This window comes from Homo sapiens, chromosome 10 (genome assembly GCF_000001405.40).
Source record: "Homo sapiens chromosome 10, GRCh38.p14 Primary Assembly".
NCBI classification, from domain to species: domain Eukaryota; kingdom Metazoa; phylum Chordata; class Mammalia; order Primates; family Hominidae; genus Homo; species Homo sapiens.
The window spans coordinates 125,092,536-125,110,672 of record NC_000010.11 but is presented as its reverse complement, the minus strand read 5'-3'; the positions used below and the strand labels follow the sequence as shown (position 1 = coordinate 125,110,672).

The following is an 18,137-nucleotide window of genomic DNA, read 5'->3' as shown; positions in this document are numbered from 1 at the left end:
TAGGATTTCTCGATGTATTAATTAAAAAGAATAAAAATGAATTAGAGAAACCATCTCATGACACCCCGAGTCAGTCATAAGTGATAGATGGATGTCTTTAGGAAGAAGGCGGCTTGTGGATACTGGCACCTCTTCAGTCAGCTTAGGCTTTTAGTGTTACCAGCCTCTAGGATGTCTTGAACATACCATGATTTTTCTGGCGGAGTAGATTGGGAATGTGGGTGCAGGCTGAGATGAGCATTCAATCCCTACCACACTCATTGATGGATGGAGTTCAATCCTGTGCCCGTAGCAGGGTTTTGGGATTCTAAGTTTCATTTCGGCATGTCTTTAGCCATTTTTCACAAAACCTGGATCTTTCTTAAAGTCTCAAAGTGGCAACTTCTCTGATGGAATTGATTTTAATCTTGCTTTTTAAAAAAAAATGTTTTCCCCGTGAGGTAACAACATCATTCAAAAGCAAGGGAAACCGCTAGCCAATTGTGTCCTGTCTCTCTCACCTGTCACACTCCTAGCAGAGCCTTGAGGGGACTAGCTTTGGTTCCCAGAGAGGTTTAAGTTTGTGACCAGGCCCTCAGGCCTGGCTTCCTGAGTTGCTGGAGGCAGTTAGAGACTTGGAGCCCAGGGGCACACATGGGTGACCACCTGAGGGGGCCAAGCTGAATCTCTGCCTGAACCTAAGCAGCACAGTGGGTTGTAGGATCAGGAAAGGATCTCTGTGTGTCCCTTCCTTTTCTCCATAAAGTAGATCTAGCTGGGGAAACTGAGGTAGCTGACCCAGACCTAGACCTCCAAATATTGCTTACCAGCTTGGTGACTGAGCAAGTGGTCTCTGCTGGCACTCGGAAGCCTTATCTGTGAATCGAACAGGTGGATTGGGCTGGTACCCAGGACCCTCCCCACCCTTTAAGCTTGAATTTGATGTAGAAATTCAGAACCCTTTCCTGGGAGTGCTCTGACAGGGCTTTGCTGGGCCAAAGGCCATAGCAGAGCGTGAAGCTCGAGTTGAGTTGTGTATGAGAGGGGCCCCTCAGTCATCTTTGAACACTTAAGGCTCTTAGCATTGAGGAGGATGAGGAACTGGAAGTCTGATGGAATGTTCTTTGGTGGAAACCTGAGGGAGGTCAGGACCGCCACTCGCAACCTTATTCAGTTCAGCCTTTCAGGACAAACGTTGCTTACTTTTCTGGCTCTCACTCTCAGACCTGTGTGCTAGAATCTGCCCGGGTTTCTCAGGCAGAGACAAAGTCACCTTGGGCCTGGGGTTGGCAAAGATAGTTCCAGTGTTGGGTGCTGGGTCCAAAGATGTTTTCAGTGGGTTGGGTCATGGTGATGTTTCCAGTTGGACACCATGGAACTGGCCATGTTGGACATCCACGCTCTTTCACCCAGACAAGTACCAGGCCCTGCCTGCCTGGGAGCATCTCCGCTGGATGGACCATCATTACGTTTCATAGATGCTCATTTCAGTGTTGGAAATCATTTTCTCTAAACAGAAGGATGTGGGAACTTGGTGTATAAGGATGAAATGGACTTTTTAAATATCAAAAATGGTTGAATGAGGACACTTTCATTTGACTCAGTCTAATAACCAGAGCCACTCTGGGATCCTGTTTAGCAGTGATCTCCCTCTCAGACAGATGAGTTAACATTCTCCAAATGCATCCAGAACCAGAATGAAATTGTGACACGCTTCCTGTTAACAAATGTTTCCTGAGTGCTAAGCAGACTCAAGACACTTACCCTTATGTGGGGTTCCCACCATTCCTGTATTTTTGGCATCCTTTTGGGTAAGAGTTTTTTATAGCACTTTGGAAGAGCTTAAGAGACTTGGTGTGGTACTGGAGCTGGCCATCACTGGAGCATGGTCACTGTGCTGTGACAACAGCTCATGGTGTCCACGGCCCACGCACACACTGAGTGTGGCCCCACTGGCCCACCTGCTCCCCGCCCAGCCCACCCCAGAAGCAGGATAAAACTTCTCCCCTGACCACTTGCAGATGCTCTCATGGTGGAATTCTCACATGGCCCCAGAAGGCGTGTGTTTGCTCTCAGACCCTTTCTGCTCTGTGGAACGTCACCATGCCCAGGGAGTTGTATCCAGCTCTGCCTGCTGTCTACATGCAGCAACACAAGGAGGTCATGTGGGATTGTAACCAAAGTAAGGACCACGTATGGATTTCAACCAGAGCCCACCTGTTGAGATCTCTGGTCTAGACACATCTTTTAAAATGTGGGCACAGAAGAAGGAGGTAGATGAAAATCACGTGACACCATCAGAGGTAATGGTGAATCCGTGAGGCCCTAGAGCCATTTATACATCGTTTTTGCCCTCTTAGTATTTTCTTTAGCATGTCCTAATTTTAAAAGCATCCCATTCCTGTTGTGCTAGACTTAATATTTTGGTTTATGGCCGTCTTTTTTAGTAACTTGACGTCAAACACTTCAGCCTTCTCCTGACAAGAGGCTCGTTCTCTCAGTAATGAATAGTGACGTGCTAAATTTAGATCGGATGCATGTTCTGCTTTTACTATCTGTTCTGTATGTTGCTATTTGTCAGAATGAAAGCTCAATGTGCCAGATGGCTTTGCTGGCTTCTCCTGGAAAAAGACTTCGTTCTCCATCACTTCAGTTGGGTCATGGTTTTTTAGTACTATTTTGTTGTTAAGCATTAATATTTGCAGCAGTACCCAATTATCTTTTTTTAACAAAAGTGTCACAGAAAAAGTGTTTTTGGTTAAATGCTCATAAATGAGGGGGAATGCAAATCAAATCCCTTAACTTTTATTATATTACGTAAAATGGTGGTAGAATAGTTGCAGCTGTGGTTTTGCAAAGATAGGACTGTTTCCGGCTGCCATGCATGCTGTATTATGTATTTTGACAGATCTCCAGGATGATGTAGAAGCTTGGCCTGCCGACCAGGGCCTCTGGGAAAGACAGTCTGAGGTGACACAGTGCTGGAAACTCAGTGTGCTTGGTGGTGGAAGAGGGGTTTGCCTTGATCTGCTGTGGGAACTAGGCTGGATTTCCATCTGAGTTGTGGCTGTAGCAGGCCACCTAGTTGAGGTCATCTTCCTGATCATTGGTCCTCTAGCCTGCTTCTGGCAGGACAGATATCTTTTTTCCATGAAAAACAGAAGGAAAGTATTGAATTACTCTGGAAACACATACCTAAACCTTGGGGTCCGATTGTCAATGGTTGTGAAGTGGTGGAGGTGTTGGCGCCATGGCCACTGTGCCACTCTGGTCCCAGTGTGTGGCCCCCAGAGTCCTTCGGGCCCTTGGCCTCCTGAGCTCCTGGCCTGCATGCATCCGTGGGGCCTTTGCTAGGGCCGTGTGATCCTGCTCCAGTGTTTGGGCCAGAAGCAAGACTGCCAACATCCGAAACCACAAACCAGAGGAAGATCCACAGGGCCTTTCATCTCTGGGGTTCTCTAGGTGAGAAACAGTCAGGAGGCTGAGATGGGGCAGTGGGGAAGATGCCAGCGAAGCTTTAGCCAGCCTTCGGAGTAGGGGAGGAGGGGCCCCCGCTGAAGCTCTTGGTTCTTGCTTGGATTTTATTCCTGTGCCTTCTGGATGTGAGTTATGCTTCGGAATCCCAGCCTCCCTCCACCCCCCAAGGATAAATGGGAGGCATTGATTCAGTGTTTGTTCTTCTCTCCTGAGCATCTCAGCAACCTAGTGTGGCCTCCCAAGTAGGGATGGAGAGATCACCCCGTCCATTCCCCTTCTTTTTGCTTTAGCATCTACATGGGTCCAGGGTCACACAGGGGTCACGCCCTCCATTCTCCTGGTGAGTCTGGCTTTCTGCTGTTACTGTTGTTTTCCGCTTCCTGCGCCACCCTGGCTGCTGGTTCTCATCAGAGTGGATTTGCAAAGTAGGGAGGAAGAGACCAGGCAGAAGGCCTGAATTTTCCCACTGTGACCCATGTGTCAACACTGTGTGGCCGGCCTGGGTGGGTTCCTGCTGAGTTGCTCCTTCGCTGGAGGGGTACCTCCGAGCAGGGCATCTGCAGGATGGTGGGCACACTTGCCTCTCACTCTTGGCGGGGCCAGGAGTCTCTGTTGCCACTGAGTGACGTTATGCTGGGAAATGGAGGCGTGGTGTCCGCTTCTCTTTCCGTGATCCTCATACCCTTCCCAAGACCCCCATTTTGTTAGTGAAGAACTTGACGCCCAGATCCACCTGCCAGCATGTGTGGCCTTAGGTATATCTGGCATTCAGGAGCCGATGAAGCAACCCCAAACTCAGGTCGCCCCGCGTCCCTTGCTGGTGGAAGCCTTTCCGGAAACACTGTGGTAGTGAGCCTGGCTTCCCATACACTGCAGGGTCCCTTTACAGTGAAGATGGCTTCCCGGGGGCTTTGATATTCCTGGAAGCTTTCTCAGGTTTGTCATGGTACCGTCCCCACACCCAGGGTTGTGGGAGGAAGAGCACTTGGTCCATGTGAAGTGGGGCCGCACATGGGGTGCATCTTTCCGCTGAGAGTGTGGCAGTGTGCAGAGAATGGGCCTCTGCTACCCCTCATCAGCCAACCCTGGTGGAGACCCCCTTGTGCCCTAGACAGGCCTGGCCACTGAACTGAGGGATGGCAGCCCTGTTGTGTGGGACAGCCAGAGACACGGGTCAGCGGCTGATTTCTCTGAGGCTTGGAGCGTGTGTTTGTTAAAGGCAAGAAGAGTGGGAAGGAGTGGATGGAGTGAGCGGCAGGGCCAGAGCCTCACTTGTTGAAGGGAGTGGTGGTGCATTGTGTTTACTGTCAAGTTTCAGGCTGGGGCGTAGATGCCGATGTGCAAATGAGTAGGCAGGGAAGTGAGCTTTCTCTTATTAAAATGTTGGCTTACTAATCAAGTGTTGCTGGGTGTGATTAGTGGCAGAGGAAAAGGTTATTTCTTTCTGTAAATATTTTTGCTTAACATTTATGCGTTACCATTGCTGATTGTATTAATACTCTTAGAATGCATTAGACCAATAACTTGTTTTTTTTTAAAAAAATGTCTTGGTTTTAAGCAGTTTCAGTTGGTCTTTATGGAAGGACACACAGCATTTCACTGAAGCTTGAGGGATCTGCCAGGTTCAAGTGTAAAGGGGCATTAGTTTCAACTTAGAGCAGCTCCCCCAGCTACAAATGCTGATAAAATAGCTCAGAAGTGCAAGAGCCTGGTTACTTTCAGTAATTTTAGGATTTAGTATCTGGATCTGAATTTTGACCATTGTTGAAGGAGCAGATAATTGGATGCATTTTCTAAAGTAATGATTTAGGCCAAGGAGGGCAGATCCTTTGAGCCCAGGAGTTTGAGACCAGCCTGGGCAACATAGCAAGACCCCATCTCTATAAAAAAATTTTTTTAAAAAATCAGCCAGGTGGTGGTGTGTATCTGTGGTCCTCAGGTTCCAGAGTAGCTGGGTGGGAGGATTGTGTGAGCCTGGGAGGTCAAGGCTGCAGTAAGCCATGATTGCACCACTGCACTCAGCCTTGGGTGACAGAGGGAGACCCCATCTCCAGAAAATGTTTTTAAAACTCGGCCAGGTGGCGGCGCCTGCCTATGCCTGGGTGGCCAGATTGTGTGAGCCTGGGAGCTCACGTCTGCAGTGCACTGTGATCACACCCCTCTACTTAGCCTGAGTGACAGAGGCAGACCCTGTCTCAAATAAATTAATAAATAAATAAAAGTAACGATTTAGGAAATGGCTGAGAATTCCCATGACCCTCGTGTCCTCGGGCCTGGTGTTTTCACAGGGGTGGGGGCGGGAGAAGGGGAGAAAGAAGGACGTGCTGTCTGTGGCTTCCTTCTTCCCAGGCATTCATTTAACACCAGCTGAACACATTTGCTTTATTGATTGGTTGATTCATTTATTTTTGGCAAACTTGGCAACTTCCACCTGGCCCCATGCTGTTAAAAATAAAGTCTTCTTGGTCGACTGAATGCTTTTGCAATTCATTCTTTCCATGTAGCAATTAAGATGATTCCCCTAGCCTTGTACCAGTTAAGGATAAATAGGAGGTTTTCAAAGAAAATGCTGCGTAATTCATCGGCATTTGTGTGTGAGCACACGGGTAATACATGCGAGTAGCCTCCGTGAGTGGACTCCTGTGTAAGGAGGTAAAATGGAACGTTTTTCTGCACTTATCCTGAGAAGCAGCCCGAACAGTGACATTTATACATATTTCATAATGTGGTTTCTTCAGGCACGCGGAGCAAACAAATCAATTTCTCAGCAGTATACTGTTTAAAAGAAACAGCAACAACCTGTGGGGAAGTTGCAGAAGCTGTTAAAATTAATTATATATGGCAAAAAGATAGAACATTAGGGGGAAATGTTAATGTGGGAGGATGAAAAAACACAGCCGTGGATGAGCAGCAGTGCAGAGCATCTGATGACAGTGTTTAATTTCCGTTTCTTTATAAATGTATACTGATGAACAACAATGGCGCCCGCACAGGGTCCTCCTGTTCCGTCCTTTCTCCAGGCCGCTGGGATCGAATGTCCCCGTGAGCATCCAGTCAGCTCCACGTGGTGTGAGCCTTGATTTCTGGGAACGGTACCGTGCTGTCTTTTAATAGGGATTTGTGGAAAACGAGAATTGGTGGTGAAGGTATCGAATTCCTGAGCCTTGTAATGCAACACCTTTCCCGTGGTCACCTTCCCTCTTCCGGTTCAGCTATACGTTGTTTAACTCAAAGGAAACCTTTGTTGTCGTGGGTAGGGTGTAACCTGCAACTCCTTGAAAAATTCAGCTTGGGTGATCAGTTTCCTCAGGGATGTAGGGGGAGAGGCTCTTCAGCAGGGGTGGGAGGGTGCTTACAGGAGGGTCCCAGAGCTGTGGGACAGGCTTGCCCCCTTTCCTGGGGGAAGCTCGCCTCTTTCCCGGACACTGCAGGTTTGTAGGATATACCCCTTGGTTCAGCTGGTCATGGCAAGTGAGTCCTCCCTATCACCCACTTCCGCGGTGGTGGGACGCCTGGGGGGCATGGATGGGGCCTGCGTCCTAGGAGACCTTGGCTCCAGCTGCTCGAGGCCACTTTGTCTCTTCTGCATGTCGCAGAAGCGTCTGTACCTCCTGGGGTTGGCTTTCCTGTGAGCATTTGGGCTCCCTCTGCCTGGGTGGCCTGTTGTCTGGAGGGAGTCTTCAGTCCCTCTTAGTGCAGCAGCCAAGGGTGTCTCTTCTCACTCCCTGAGCCTTCTGATTCCTGTATCAGGGGAAGTTAAAAAGTGTTGTAAATGGACTTGGACCAAGGAGCAGGACTCTGACTACGAACTTAGAACCTTCCAGAGTGATTTCCGCAGCTCCCTGAAGCAGAGCTAGCTCCTTGAGCTCATTGTCCCCTTAATTCTGTGCATGGCCTGCATATTGTAGATGCCCCAGAAGTAATTTTTTGAATGAATGAATCCAGGCTGCAGTGGGGCCAGGGGGGTGTGGAGTGGGCTGGGCACATGTAGGAGCGCATCGCAGCAGCTGTCTGGAAGGCTGGGTTGGTTCTGTGTTAGCTGGGAGTGTTTTCTGCAGACAGAAGGCAACCCAGCATGTTATACTACCTGTTCAGGGGAGGTGTGCATGTTCTGAGATAATCACGCCGTGTTCTTGAGCTTTCCACCGCAGGGAAGTGAAGTCATGCCCCCGCCTCTCCTTTGTGCAAGTAGGGCGGGGAGTCTAAACCCATGCAGGTAGGGTGTGGGGACCCAGCTGTACTCTCCCGCCACCTGTGGGTGCTGCTCTTGCGGCAGCCTCGTAGGTGAGGGATAATGTGGTTCAGCCAACCTGACTACATCCAAGCTGGGATGATGAGGACAGCAAGAAGGCCCACTGGCTCTGCAAGTCCTGTAGGCCTGGGTCCCTCGAGACAAAGCTCAGATGGCTTCTGTATCAAATTCAAGGACCCAGCATGGTGGCTGCTGCTTTGCTCACCTTCAGAGGCCTGGAAGCTGGTGTTTCCTGCATGTGTAACTGACGGCCCCAGTCCCACATTTGTTAAAAAAAACCTTCACTTTGATGAGAGTACAGTACTCCTGGCTTTTTGTAATTCAATTGAAACTCACTGCCACTCCCTCATTACAGCAGAAGATGACCTCTAAACCATGACACAGGGCGACAGCTTCCTCTGGGAAGGAGGACTCAACATTGATTTGTGCTCTGATCCCCACCCCCCTGCAAACCCTGGGCTTAAGTGGCAGCACTGCAGAGGCCTGCTGAAGGCCGGAAAGCCCTCTCTGCCTGTGTGTTTAAACAGAGCAGATTGATGCAGAGTTTGATGTGGCCAGGAAGAATTCTTTAGCATGGAATTGCATCATAACAGTCACTCCCTCCAGGAGCCCCAGCGGCTCTGGCACTTCCTCCTGATGTTTGCAAGGGGAAGGTAATGATTCTAATTGCACAGGACTTGGTCCTGGCCTTGGTGATGGCAGGAGGGCAGAGTCCTCATGGTATGGCCAAAAAATGTTTACAACTTGACCTTGTCCTCCTCTGATGGTGTTGACCTTGGACAAACTATGCCCCTCTGAGCCTAGTGCCTCAGTTTCCCCCTCTTGCAAATGCAGCAGGTAGTAGTGCTTAATCTCAGAGTTGTGGGGATTCAATGAAACAGTACTGAACGGGGCTTAACAGATACCTGGTACATGTTAAGAGCTTAGTCAAGAATGACTGCTGAGTCTGGAATGACATTATGGGGACTGACGAGGGAGGCTGATGAGAGGTGGCTTGGTGGGTACAATGTGCATTGTTTCAGCGATCGAGGCACTGAAGGCCCTGACTTCACCACAATGCAATGTATGGATGTAGAAAATTGCACTTGTACCCCATGAATATATGTACACACACAAAGATGATTGCTGCAGTAGCAGCAGTAAATGCACACAGCCAAAGGCTTAGCATGTGGGAGATGCCCTGCTCGCCTGGCTGGGCTGGAGGGGAAGGTAGTACAGGTTGCATCTCTCCAAGCCGGTACCTGTGGTCTATGTTGCAATGAACATTTCGATGCAAGACGAACGGAACTCAAACCTTTCTTGGTCGTGAAGGTCTGCTGTGTTCCTGAAGGTTCTGTCTTCCACCTGGCACTTGGGATGTGGGTTGCTCACTCCTTGCCCATCGACCTGGTAATAATGTTTTCCTATCAAGCAGTGAAAGGTTTGGGGTTTCCATGAAGCCTTTCCCAAATGTCACGCATTGGGGTTTTAGTTGTGAGGGTGTGCTGATCCCAGCCGCAGCCAAGGCGAGGTGCTGGCACCATGCTGCTGCACCCGCTCCTATGCCCACCTGGACATCTGTTTCGTAATGGACATCCTTCCCTGGGAACATGTCTCTACTCCTTTAAATGGCTTGAGGTCTCTGCAATTTGCCTGAACATTAAGTGTGACCAAAGAGCCTGAGGCCAGCCATGGAGAGGACGAAGACATGAGGCTTTCTCTCGAGAGCCACACTGGGAGAGGCCGGGAACACGGCCACTTCACATGAAAGGCGGTTAGATTCAGGTCACTGGGTCTGGACTCCTGCATTTTATGGCAAAGTCTAAAAATGCCGATTTGTAACAACCAATGTTAATGAATTCAGACTGTTTGAATTTCACACTGAATAATGGCTGGAATTATCAGAGCCCACAGCTTATAAGATCCCTGGATCGTGTAATCTTTTCTCAAGATTTAATTGATAGAATGATGTAATATCACATTACTTTTATTAAAAGTTCTGGCCATAAAAGAGAAACACCTATTAGGATAGAAGAATTTAGTAAAAATAGTAGTAATAACAAGACAGTTTGGAATATGTCATATATTCAGTAAATTTCAAAAGTCTTCATCTCATTTAAAATACAGTATTGTGCCCATAGATCCTGAATGCAATACCTTTGTACCCTAGGGCTTCCTCTTTCCTACACTAAAAACATTCTATTTAAATGCAGATTTTGATTTGCAATCTAGGAAGAGGATTCTGGAAGAATGGGAAGAAGGACAACTCTGCATCTATTAATTTTAGTTTTATGTTATTCGCGTTTTTCCTCTCATCCTTATCTCCTCCAGCCCTTCCTTCCTGTAAAAGGATCCTTTCTAAACATACAAATAAAGACATGCTTAGAATTTCAGCACATAAGAATGTTGTTACGCCTTCTTTTATTTTTGTTTAAAAATTAAATTAAAAAATTTTTTTTCCAAAAATGTTTGTTCCTTTGATTTGTGTACGTGTGTGCACGTGTATTTGCCCCTGGGTTGTAGCCTTGTCTTGCTTTTCCACACATGCTCCCAGTATCTTACCTAGGAAATGAGCGGAACAGTGGAATTACCAAGTGCAGATGGTAGAACTTCCCTTACCAGAGCCCAAGTGACTTGTGTGATATTGAGCTTTGGTTACTAAATAAATGGATTTCTGGCTTTTGACATTGTACTCTGAGAATTGGGTGGCCAATCATCAAATACCATTTTTTTCACTGTTGTCTGCATTTAATACAGCATCTTCTGCCATACGCACTTGTCAATTCAAACATGAGCGTTACATTTTGGTCTTTATGATCTGTCAAGGGAAAATGGAAGTAAATTCTTTATAATATGCTAATTGATGTATTTGGGAATTTTTAGATGTAGACAACATCTGTGCATGCCGTTAACACAGTTAATAGCTCCCGTTCTTCAATATGAGAAGGTTTTCAGAGTCTATGTGTGATCTAGATGAGACCTTCTGTGTCCGCCCCCCCAGGACTTGGCAGTGTCAAATTTAAGGCTGTTTTTTCTGGTGCCTTAGGACTGAATCTGAGCCTGCGCAAAGTCCTGTTTTGAGGATGCTTCTGGCCACAGTGTGCTGGGATTGTGTTGGTTCTGGGAAGAGCCTGGCTGGCCAGACCTGGTCTTATCTATCACCCCCATCCCTACTCCGTCCTAGCCTGGACCAGACTGGCTGGAGTGATGGGTCCAGAGAAAGAGACCGTGGACCTGAACAGTCCTTGGGACCCTTCTGCCACTCTTGGAGGTGCCACCTCCCCTGGTAGCTTGGCACCATTTGGGTTCTCCTTTAGCCATGGGTTTTTGACAACTCAAGAGCTTATTTTCCATACAAACTTGTTGATGGTTTTCTAAGGCAGGAAGCATTGCTTTATTGAGAGTGAGGAATTGTACCCTTTGAAAGCTGCCCCCTGAAAAGGGAGTGGAGAGAGATGGCTCCAGTTGGAGTTCAGGATGGGGGTATCTTTCAGTGAACTTGGGGGGAGGGCTGAGTGGTGGAGCTTGGGGCTCATGTCCCAGGCCTTCTCTGGTCAGGAAAGCAGAGTTGAAAAGGGCCCTTTTAATCTGGAGGGCCCAGAATGGTCCAGCCAGTTGCCCCGGAAAGGAAGCCTCATGTGGCATGCGTGCCAGACGCTGCACAGCTTGAGTTGGTCCTATGTGTGTGGCACAGCCTTACAAGGTTGAGGTATTTACCTTTATTCCTATAAATTGATGGATAAGGGGGGTTAATTGATTTCTCTTGGCACTTGGCAAGAACAGACGTCAGATTTGAACCTAGGTCTAGGTTTCAGTTGCACACCCAGCATGTTCTGCTCCACAGCCTTTTCCTAAAATAGTTTAGATGTTGGTATAAACCTGTGCGTACTGAACGTGCCTGACCGTGTGCTAGTATGATGGCTTTTCTACAGTGTCTCCCTAGACTCCATGCTTGCAGACCGACAGCGCGTGGAAAGGAGGCTTTCTGGCTTGGTAAATGCTCAGTCAGGTGAGCTTGCTGAGTTTATTGTAAGCTTTGCAGTTCCATTCCCCACACACCCAGTGGTGGGGATGGAGGGGGCGCAGGGAGGAGGTGGCCCCAGAGCAGATTGAGCCCCTTGGTCTTTGCTGTAGCCAGGACTCCAGGCTAAAGTAGCACAGGGTGGGCAGCTCCGAGGCCTGGGTGTCTCTCTGTCTCTCTCTCTGTCTCTCTCTCTCTCTCTCTCTCTCTCTCTGTCTCTCTCTCTCTCTCTCTCTCTCTGTCTCTCTCTCTCTCTGTCTCTCTCTCTCTCTCTCTCTCTCTCTCTCTCTCTCTCTCTCTCTCTCTCCCCCTCCCCCATTTCTCTCTCTGTTCACCCGCAGCAGCCCCAGGCTGCGTCATTGGCACTGTGAAGGTGCAGGGCACAGGTACAAATAGGGGGGTCTTCTGGCCATCTTTGGACATAAACCCCCATCCTCGGAAGCATGGCCCGCTCATCCCCAGGTCCTGGCCTTCCTAAGGGCTGTTAAACACACATCAACCAAGTGATGCCTTACGGACCACGCATATACCAGACGCAGCTGGGTACCGTGTATTCTCTTGATATTACTATATTCTCAGCCACCAGGGCTAGTGTATGTGGGTGTCATTGTCATTAGCAGCCTAGGGAGGGAATGGAATTTGGGGAGTAGTCTGCCTAAGTTCCATTCCGTTCACTCCAAGAGCTGAACACGTGCTGGGTCCACACACCTGTGGACTGATGGCTGGGACCGTCTCAGTGCTTGGCAAAAAAGAAAACGGGGATAGCAGGCACTTTTTGAACATTGATTACTGACTGCTGCTGCTGTTACTGGTATTGTTGGCATTTTTTGTTCGTTTGGTTTTTGAGACAGAGTCTCGCTCTGTCGCCCAGACTGGAGTGCAGTGGTGCGATCTCGGTTCACTGCGATCTCCGCCTCCTGGGTTCAAGCAGTTCTCCTGCCTCAGCCTCCCTAGTAGCTGGGACTACAGGCGCCCGCCGCCACACCCAGCTACTTTTAGTAGAGATGGGGTTTCACCATGTTGGCCAGGCTGATCTCAAACTCCTGACCTCAAGTGATCCACCTGCATGATCCACCTGCCTTGGCCTCCCAAGGTGCTGTGCTGGGATTACAGGCGTGAGCCACTGCTCCCAGCCTCGTCGGCCTTTTTTGCCTTCTGCTTGTACCTCAACCCTTTGGCAAAAAGTAGGAACTACAGAGGGCCTGTCATTGAGACTTCAAGTTGCCAATGCCCCTCACCTATTCATCTGAACTCAGGCACATGTACATGCTCACACGTGTGCATGCTCACACGTGTGCACACATACATCTGACATGGACACACTGATATGCACACGTGTACAAATTGTGAATGGTATGGACCCCACGTGAGGCATGCACCTAAGGCGCGCCTGTAGCAGCGGGACAGAGAACAGGCTTCCTTGTACCCTGTACTCATCACGGGGGTTGCGCTGGCTTCCTTGGGTTGGCTTTGAGGAGTGCGGCTTGTGACTTCTCCACGGTAGAGAACTGAGGCCTTAGACAAATAGTCATCCATTGTAACTGTTCCCTGCAGTGTTGATAGAAATGGTGTTGGGATAATTAGACTGTGCTGCTGCTTTCTCCTTTTCTCCCAGGTTGATGAGTAGGAGCAGTTTAATTTGAGACTAGTAAATTTTGTAATTGGATTTAAAAGACTGAAATGAGCGGACCTGGTTTCCATATTACCTTTATACCCCAGCGAGGGGAAATGCTTGAGTCAGGTGTGGATCAGATTATTTTATTGTGCCAACATTAATATTGGGAGCACACACATAATCTGGAGTCAGCAGGTTCATCCACTACTATCTCATTAAATTTTCAGGCAAAAGCTGCAAAAATTAATTGGAGGCATGTAATAGTTTAGAATGTGTGCCAGCTTATGGTAATATAAATTATGTGAAGAGAAGACAGTTTTATATACTGAGAGAGGGAAAACTGGTTTACTTTAATGAGAAGAGATAGAAATGTAGAGCTATTTTTTCATTACAGATACACTCTAAAATGTTTGGACTTAGTTGATGAATAGAGTTAATTCGCTGCTACAGTTCCAATAATTCATGTTGCACAGTTTAATGACTTCTAGATAAAAACAGGATTGAAATGTTAATTTCTCGGAAGAAATTGGGGCACTCTTGTATATCAGACATCTCCCCCCCACCCCCCCATTAAACCACTAGTTAATTCCACCAAACAAGTCTCTTTGAGCTATTTCATGCCGTGTAGACTTTTGTATTTCTTACCTGGGCTGGCTGGCTTTTTTTTAAACCTTAATGTATATGATAATCTTAGGTGACAGAATGTGTTAGAGCTGTGTCTAGGCAACCTGACTCAGCAGAGAGTTTCATACCTTTTAGTTTTGTAAATGACCACGTGCTATAACCTGCATTCTCCTGTCCAGTAACTGTTTCGGCAGGGAGGGGGTTTACTGGGTTGTGGTTAGCCATCTGTTTAGTCGAGTAGCGATGTTGTCCCACTTCTGAGCTGGGAAATAGGAAGTATTGATCAGTCAGCTTTAGATTCATGAGGCGATAGTCTCAAATCATGCAGAGATTTTATCACTATGTTATTTTGCATCTTTGTTTTCTTTTTCACTTTTCATAACTTGGAGACATTTTTTCCCCATGGGGTAGGTTCAGCAAAGTTCACTGTCTTCTTTCTCTTTAACCTACTCTCAGAAAAAAAGACGAAAAGGAAATACGAAGTATAGTAATGAAGTGTTAACTAATAGTGGGGCTACATAATTGAGTACTCGGATTTTGTTGCCAGAGTTCTTAGAACAAGAATGCAAACATGTCTTATTTCAACCATGTGCGTGCTGTGTTTTGCTTTTTTTGTGTTTGACAAAGGGGACAAAAGAATAACCCCCTAAGTATTAAGGAGTGGAGGGAAAGGAGATGAGCCCCCACTCCCTGCGCTCCCTTCCTGGTTTGCCTTTGGGTGTACAGTTCATAGGGCTTCCTAGAAACGGCTGCGTTAGGGCCGAGGGGGTGAAGACTTGGCAGGACTTCCTGGCAGAGGCAAGGACTCCCCTGCCTCCCACCTCATGACCATTGGGCCTTAGCAAGGCTTAGTGAATCCTGAGTGGGGTCATCTTTAGCCTAAACCTGGAGTCACCACAGAGCTTTTGTAAACAGTGAGAAACCTACTACTTCCTACAGAAACTGTGCTGTCTGCAAAGCTCAGCGTCTGCTCCAGCCTGAATCCCCAGGCCCTGTCCCTGTACACACCTAGTTTTGAGGTCAGGACATCACAAAACATCTGCCAACATCGAAAAGTCATCAGGAGCCACCCAGACGTGGGGTGTATTGGTGGGAAGAAGGAGCATCTTAGTCTGCTTCCTTCTGAGGCCCACAGTTCCAGAAGGACTAGCGTCCTCAGAGCATGTGGTAGTGGCTGTTCTTGTCTTTTCCTGGTGGTGGGGCCTGGTGACCCCTAACACCAACGGAGCTGTTCCCAGGTTCATTTCGTCCCTTTTTCTGTGGTGAGATGAGGCTCCTCCTGCCCTCCTTGCTGGGTGGTCTTTCTGTTTTGACCACATCCCTTGGAAGCGTGGCTGGGCTGCGTAACTCCAGAGCAGCCTGGTGGTAGCTGGGGCTGCCTTCTGAGTTTGGGCTGGTGGATGCTGAGTATTTGCATTCAGAGCCTTAGGCATTGACCTTGGCTTTCTGGGACCCTACGCCCCTCTGTTTGCCTTTGTCAGTAGAGACCTTCTCACATTTAGGGATTCATTTTTTCCAAGATCTGTTTGCTAGGTGTGTGTCAAACTTCCTCCCAGAGCAGTGACATGGATGGGAATTGTGAGTGTGTTGAGAGACCTACCCTAAAAGATGGGGCTGCAGTCATCCTCAGGGGACCTCCTGTTCTCAGCTCCACCTCAGCCACACTTGGCTGTGGGTCAGCTTCTTCTGAATCAGCATCCGCAGGACAGCGCCACCCAGCCCTGCCACACTTGCTTCCTCCGCGCTTCTTCAGAGGCTGGAGCCCACCCCCATGCTCGTCGTCTGTTCTGCTTTTTTGATGCACTTACTTGTCCCTTTCAGCGTATTGCTTATGTCCTATGTTGGTTAAAAAAAAAAAAAAAATTGCCGGTAATCAGCCCCAGCCATTTCTCAGCATTTCTAGTTTGGAACTTCAGAGACTTCAACTTACGATTCCTTTAAGGCAGGAGTTTCTACTTTGGCACTGTTGACATTTTGGGTCTGGTGGTTCTTCATTGTGGGGGGCTGTCCTGTGCATCATACAATGTTCAACAGCATCCCTGGCCTCTCCCCACCCGATGCCAGTGTTGCCTCCCTCCCCACCCCGGCATGACCAGAGATGTCGCCAGATAGGGCCCAGTGTCCCCTGCTTGAGAGCCCCTGGTGAAGGGGTAGAAGTTGATTCCATGGCCCTTGTCACACTGTACTTGAGCCATACCGTGCTTGGCACGGAAACCACCCTGTAGCCGTTGTCAGAGGTGGAGCGTCCTCCCTGAGGTGCGTAACCCCCACATCATCGTTGCTTCCTTGGGCTGTGTTCTAGCGATTGCGTCCGTCCCTTTTTCTCCTTGATTGCAGATGGAAGGGCCCTGCTCTGAGCCGTCGCCACATGCCTGGTGCTTGGCTCCATGATGCTCACATGGGTGTTCATGACAGTGCATTTGACAGACAGATTTATTTGTCACCTTGTCAGGGTGACATGTTGGGATGGCTCCACCACTTGTGTGCCATTGACACTTGGCTGTCTGAAATCAGGACAAAGCATCCCTGAGACTGATCCGAATGAGGCTTATCAGCACCAGGCGTAACTTACCGCCTGCTTTCCTCTGTTTCTTTAACTTTTAATTGAAACCATTTAGTTACCACCCCTGCTGCTAGGAATCTGGGGACAATTAGGAAAGTCCCATCTGTCCTTTGAACCACATTATATTGCGTTTCTCCTCGCAATCTCAAGAAGACGGCACATTCTAGCAGCAGTGTCTTTGCCTTGCCGTCTCGCCTCCCACTGGATGGTTTTTATCTCACTTGAATGAGTTATAGCAACTCTTTAATTCAATTATTTTCTCCAGTGCAGGCTTTGAGATGATTTAGTTGAATCAAACACCCGGGTTTTCCAATGCAGAGCAGTGACTCCCAGCGAGGCCGTGGGAGGGTTTTTACATTTTCACTTCCAGCCACGGTTGCGCGCGTTCTGTGCTGCCCCCTGAGCGTCCTGGCACAAGCCCCTACTTACCATTCCGAGGAGTAGATTGGAAATGGCAGATGCCGTGGGCTTTGCCAGTCTTTCCCCAAGGCAAGGAATTATCTGTCCAGTGATATTAGGTCACTGCATTCCCACCCAGCTGTGTCGAAAGAAGGGAGGGGGTGGGGCAGCCTGGGTGATGGGCAGGAAGGCCATTTATAAATTCAAGTGTGGTAAACAGTCGACTCTCCTGCTTTGGTATTTGAGTTTGAATTAAACAAAGTGTCGTGGGTGGGAGGTGTATCATACGATCATTTTAACCATTGTGCCTTTTAATGTGGAAAATCTGCCCAAAATAGGACCTGCTGCAGTGGTTTTCACATATACAAAGAAGTGGCTAGAATGTTCTCTCAGAACAGCACACAGGATTAGAAAGGACATTTGGCCGCTGGAATTCTTCAGTGAGAATTCAGTGATTAAGCCTGCCTTCTGTTTTCCTTGTGGGCCGCAGGGTTCCTGTGGATGTCCCCACCCTCAGATTGCTGGAGTAGAAAACTTAACTTTCCAAAACACTGAGTTGTTTTCAGCCCAGCATTAGAGGTTAAAGATGCTCATGTAGAAAGCACGCAGGATGGATCTGACGAAGGAAACAGCTTCTGATACTTGAGCAGGCTTTGGACAGTGCAGATGAAGGGGGCTGAGATACTGAGGCAGTAAAGAGAACGGTCAGCTTGGGGTCTGGAGTCGCTGGGCACTGAGTGCGCGTTCTGAGTGCCATTCAAGCACCACGTAACGGTTGGGGCTGGTGTTGGGTCCTGAGATGGGCCATGGGCCACCGTTAAACTCAGGAAGCACGTGCTGCCCCCCCCCACTCTAGAAGGCGGGCTGTTTTCCTGGCGCTGTGTGTGCCATGCTTTGTGTGAACATCTCACTGGGTGTCGCTCTCATGTGGTAACTGGGCATGTTGTAGAAGTCGTTGCTCCTAAACGTAAGCCAGTGCCCACATTGGGTACGTTCTGGAAGAAACAGTGTGGCCCAACATGGGCTTATCCAGAGACAGGACACCTGCTGCCTGGTGACGTCACCACCTCCCGATGGCACCACTCTGTTCTACTCCACTGCCCCCGGGGCCTGACTTGCTACTATGGAACTAACCCTGTAGGATGAGGCCGCCATGCCCGTGTGTGTGTCTGTCCAGATCTGTCCCCACATACTTGCTGGTGGCGGGTGGGAAGAAGGTTAGATAAGT

The 18,137-nt window shown here is 48.5% G+C and overlaps 1 protein-coding gene across 26 annotated transcripts in view, besides 2 other annotated features; it reads left to right on the top strand.

The window, feature by feature from the left end:
• CTBP2 (C-terminal binding protein 2) overlaps positions 1–18,137 on the top strand; it is a 178,147-nt gene that overhangs the window by 51,791 nt on the left and 108,219 nt on the right. The window lies entirely within an intron of this gene.
• Positions 3,368–3,887: an enhancer, noted in NCBI's record as "H3K4me1 hESC enhancer chr10:126795355-126795874 (GRCh37/hg19 assembly coordinates)". NCBI's record gives its function as "activates a minimal SCP1, AML or CMV promoter by ChIP-STARR-seq in primed H9 embryonic stem cells {active_cell/tissue: H9 hESC(primed)}" and the evidence as "EXISTENCE:reporter gene assay evidence [ECO:0000049][PMID:30033119]".
• Positions 7,195–8,019: an enhancer, noted in NCBI's record as "H3K27ac-H3K4me1 hESC enhancer chr10:126791223-126792047 (GRCh37/hg19 assembly coordinates)". NCBI's record gives its function as "activates a minimal SCP1, AML or CMV promoter by ChIP-STARR-seq in primed H9 embryonic stem cells {active_cell/tissue: H9 hESC(primed)}" and the evidence as "EXISTENCE:reporter gene assay evidence [ECO:0000049][PMID:30033119]".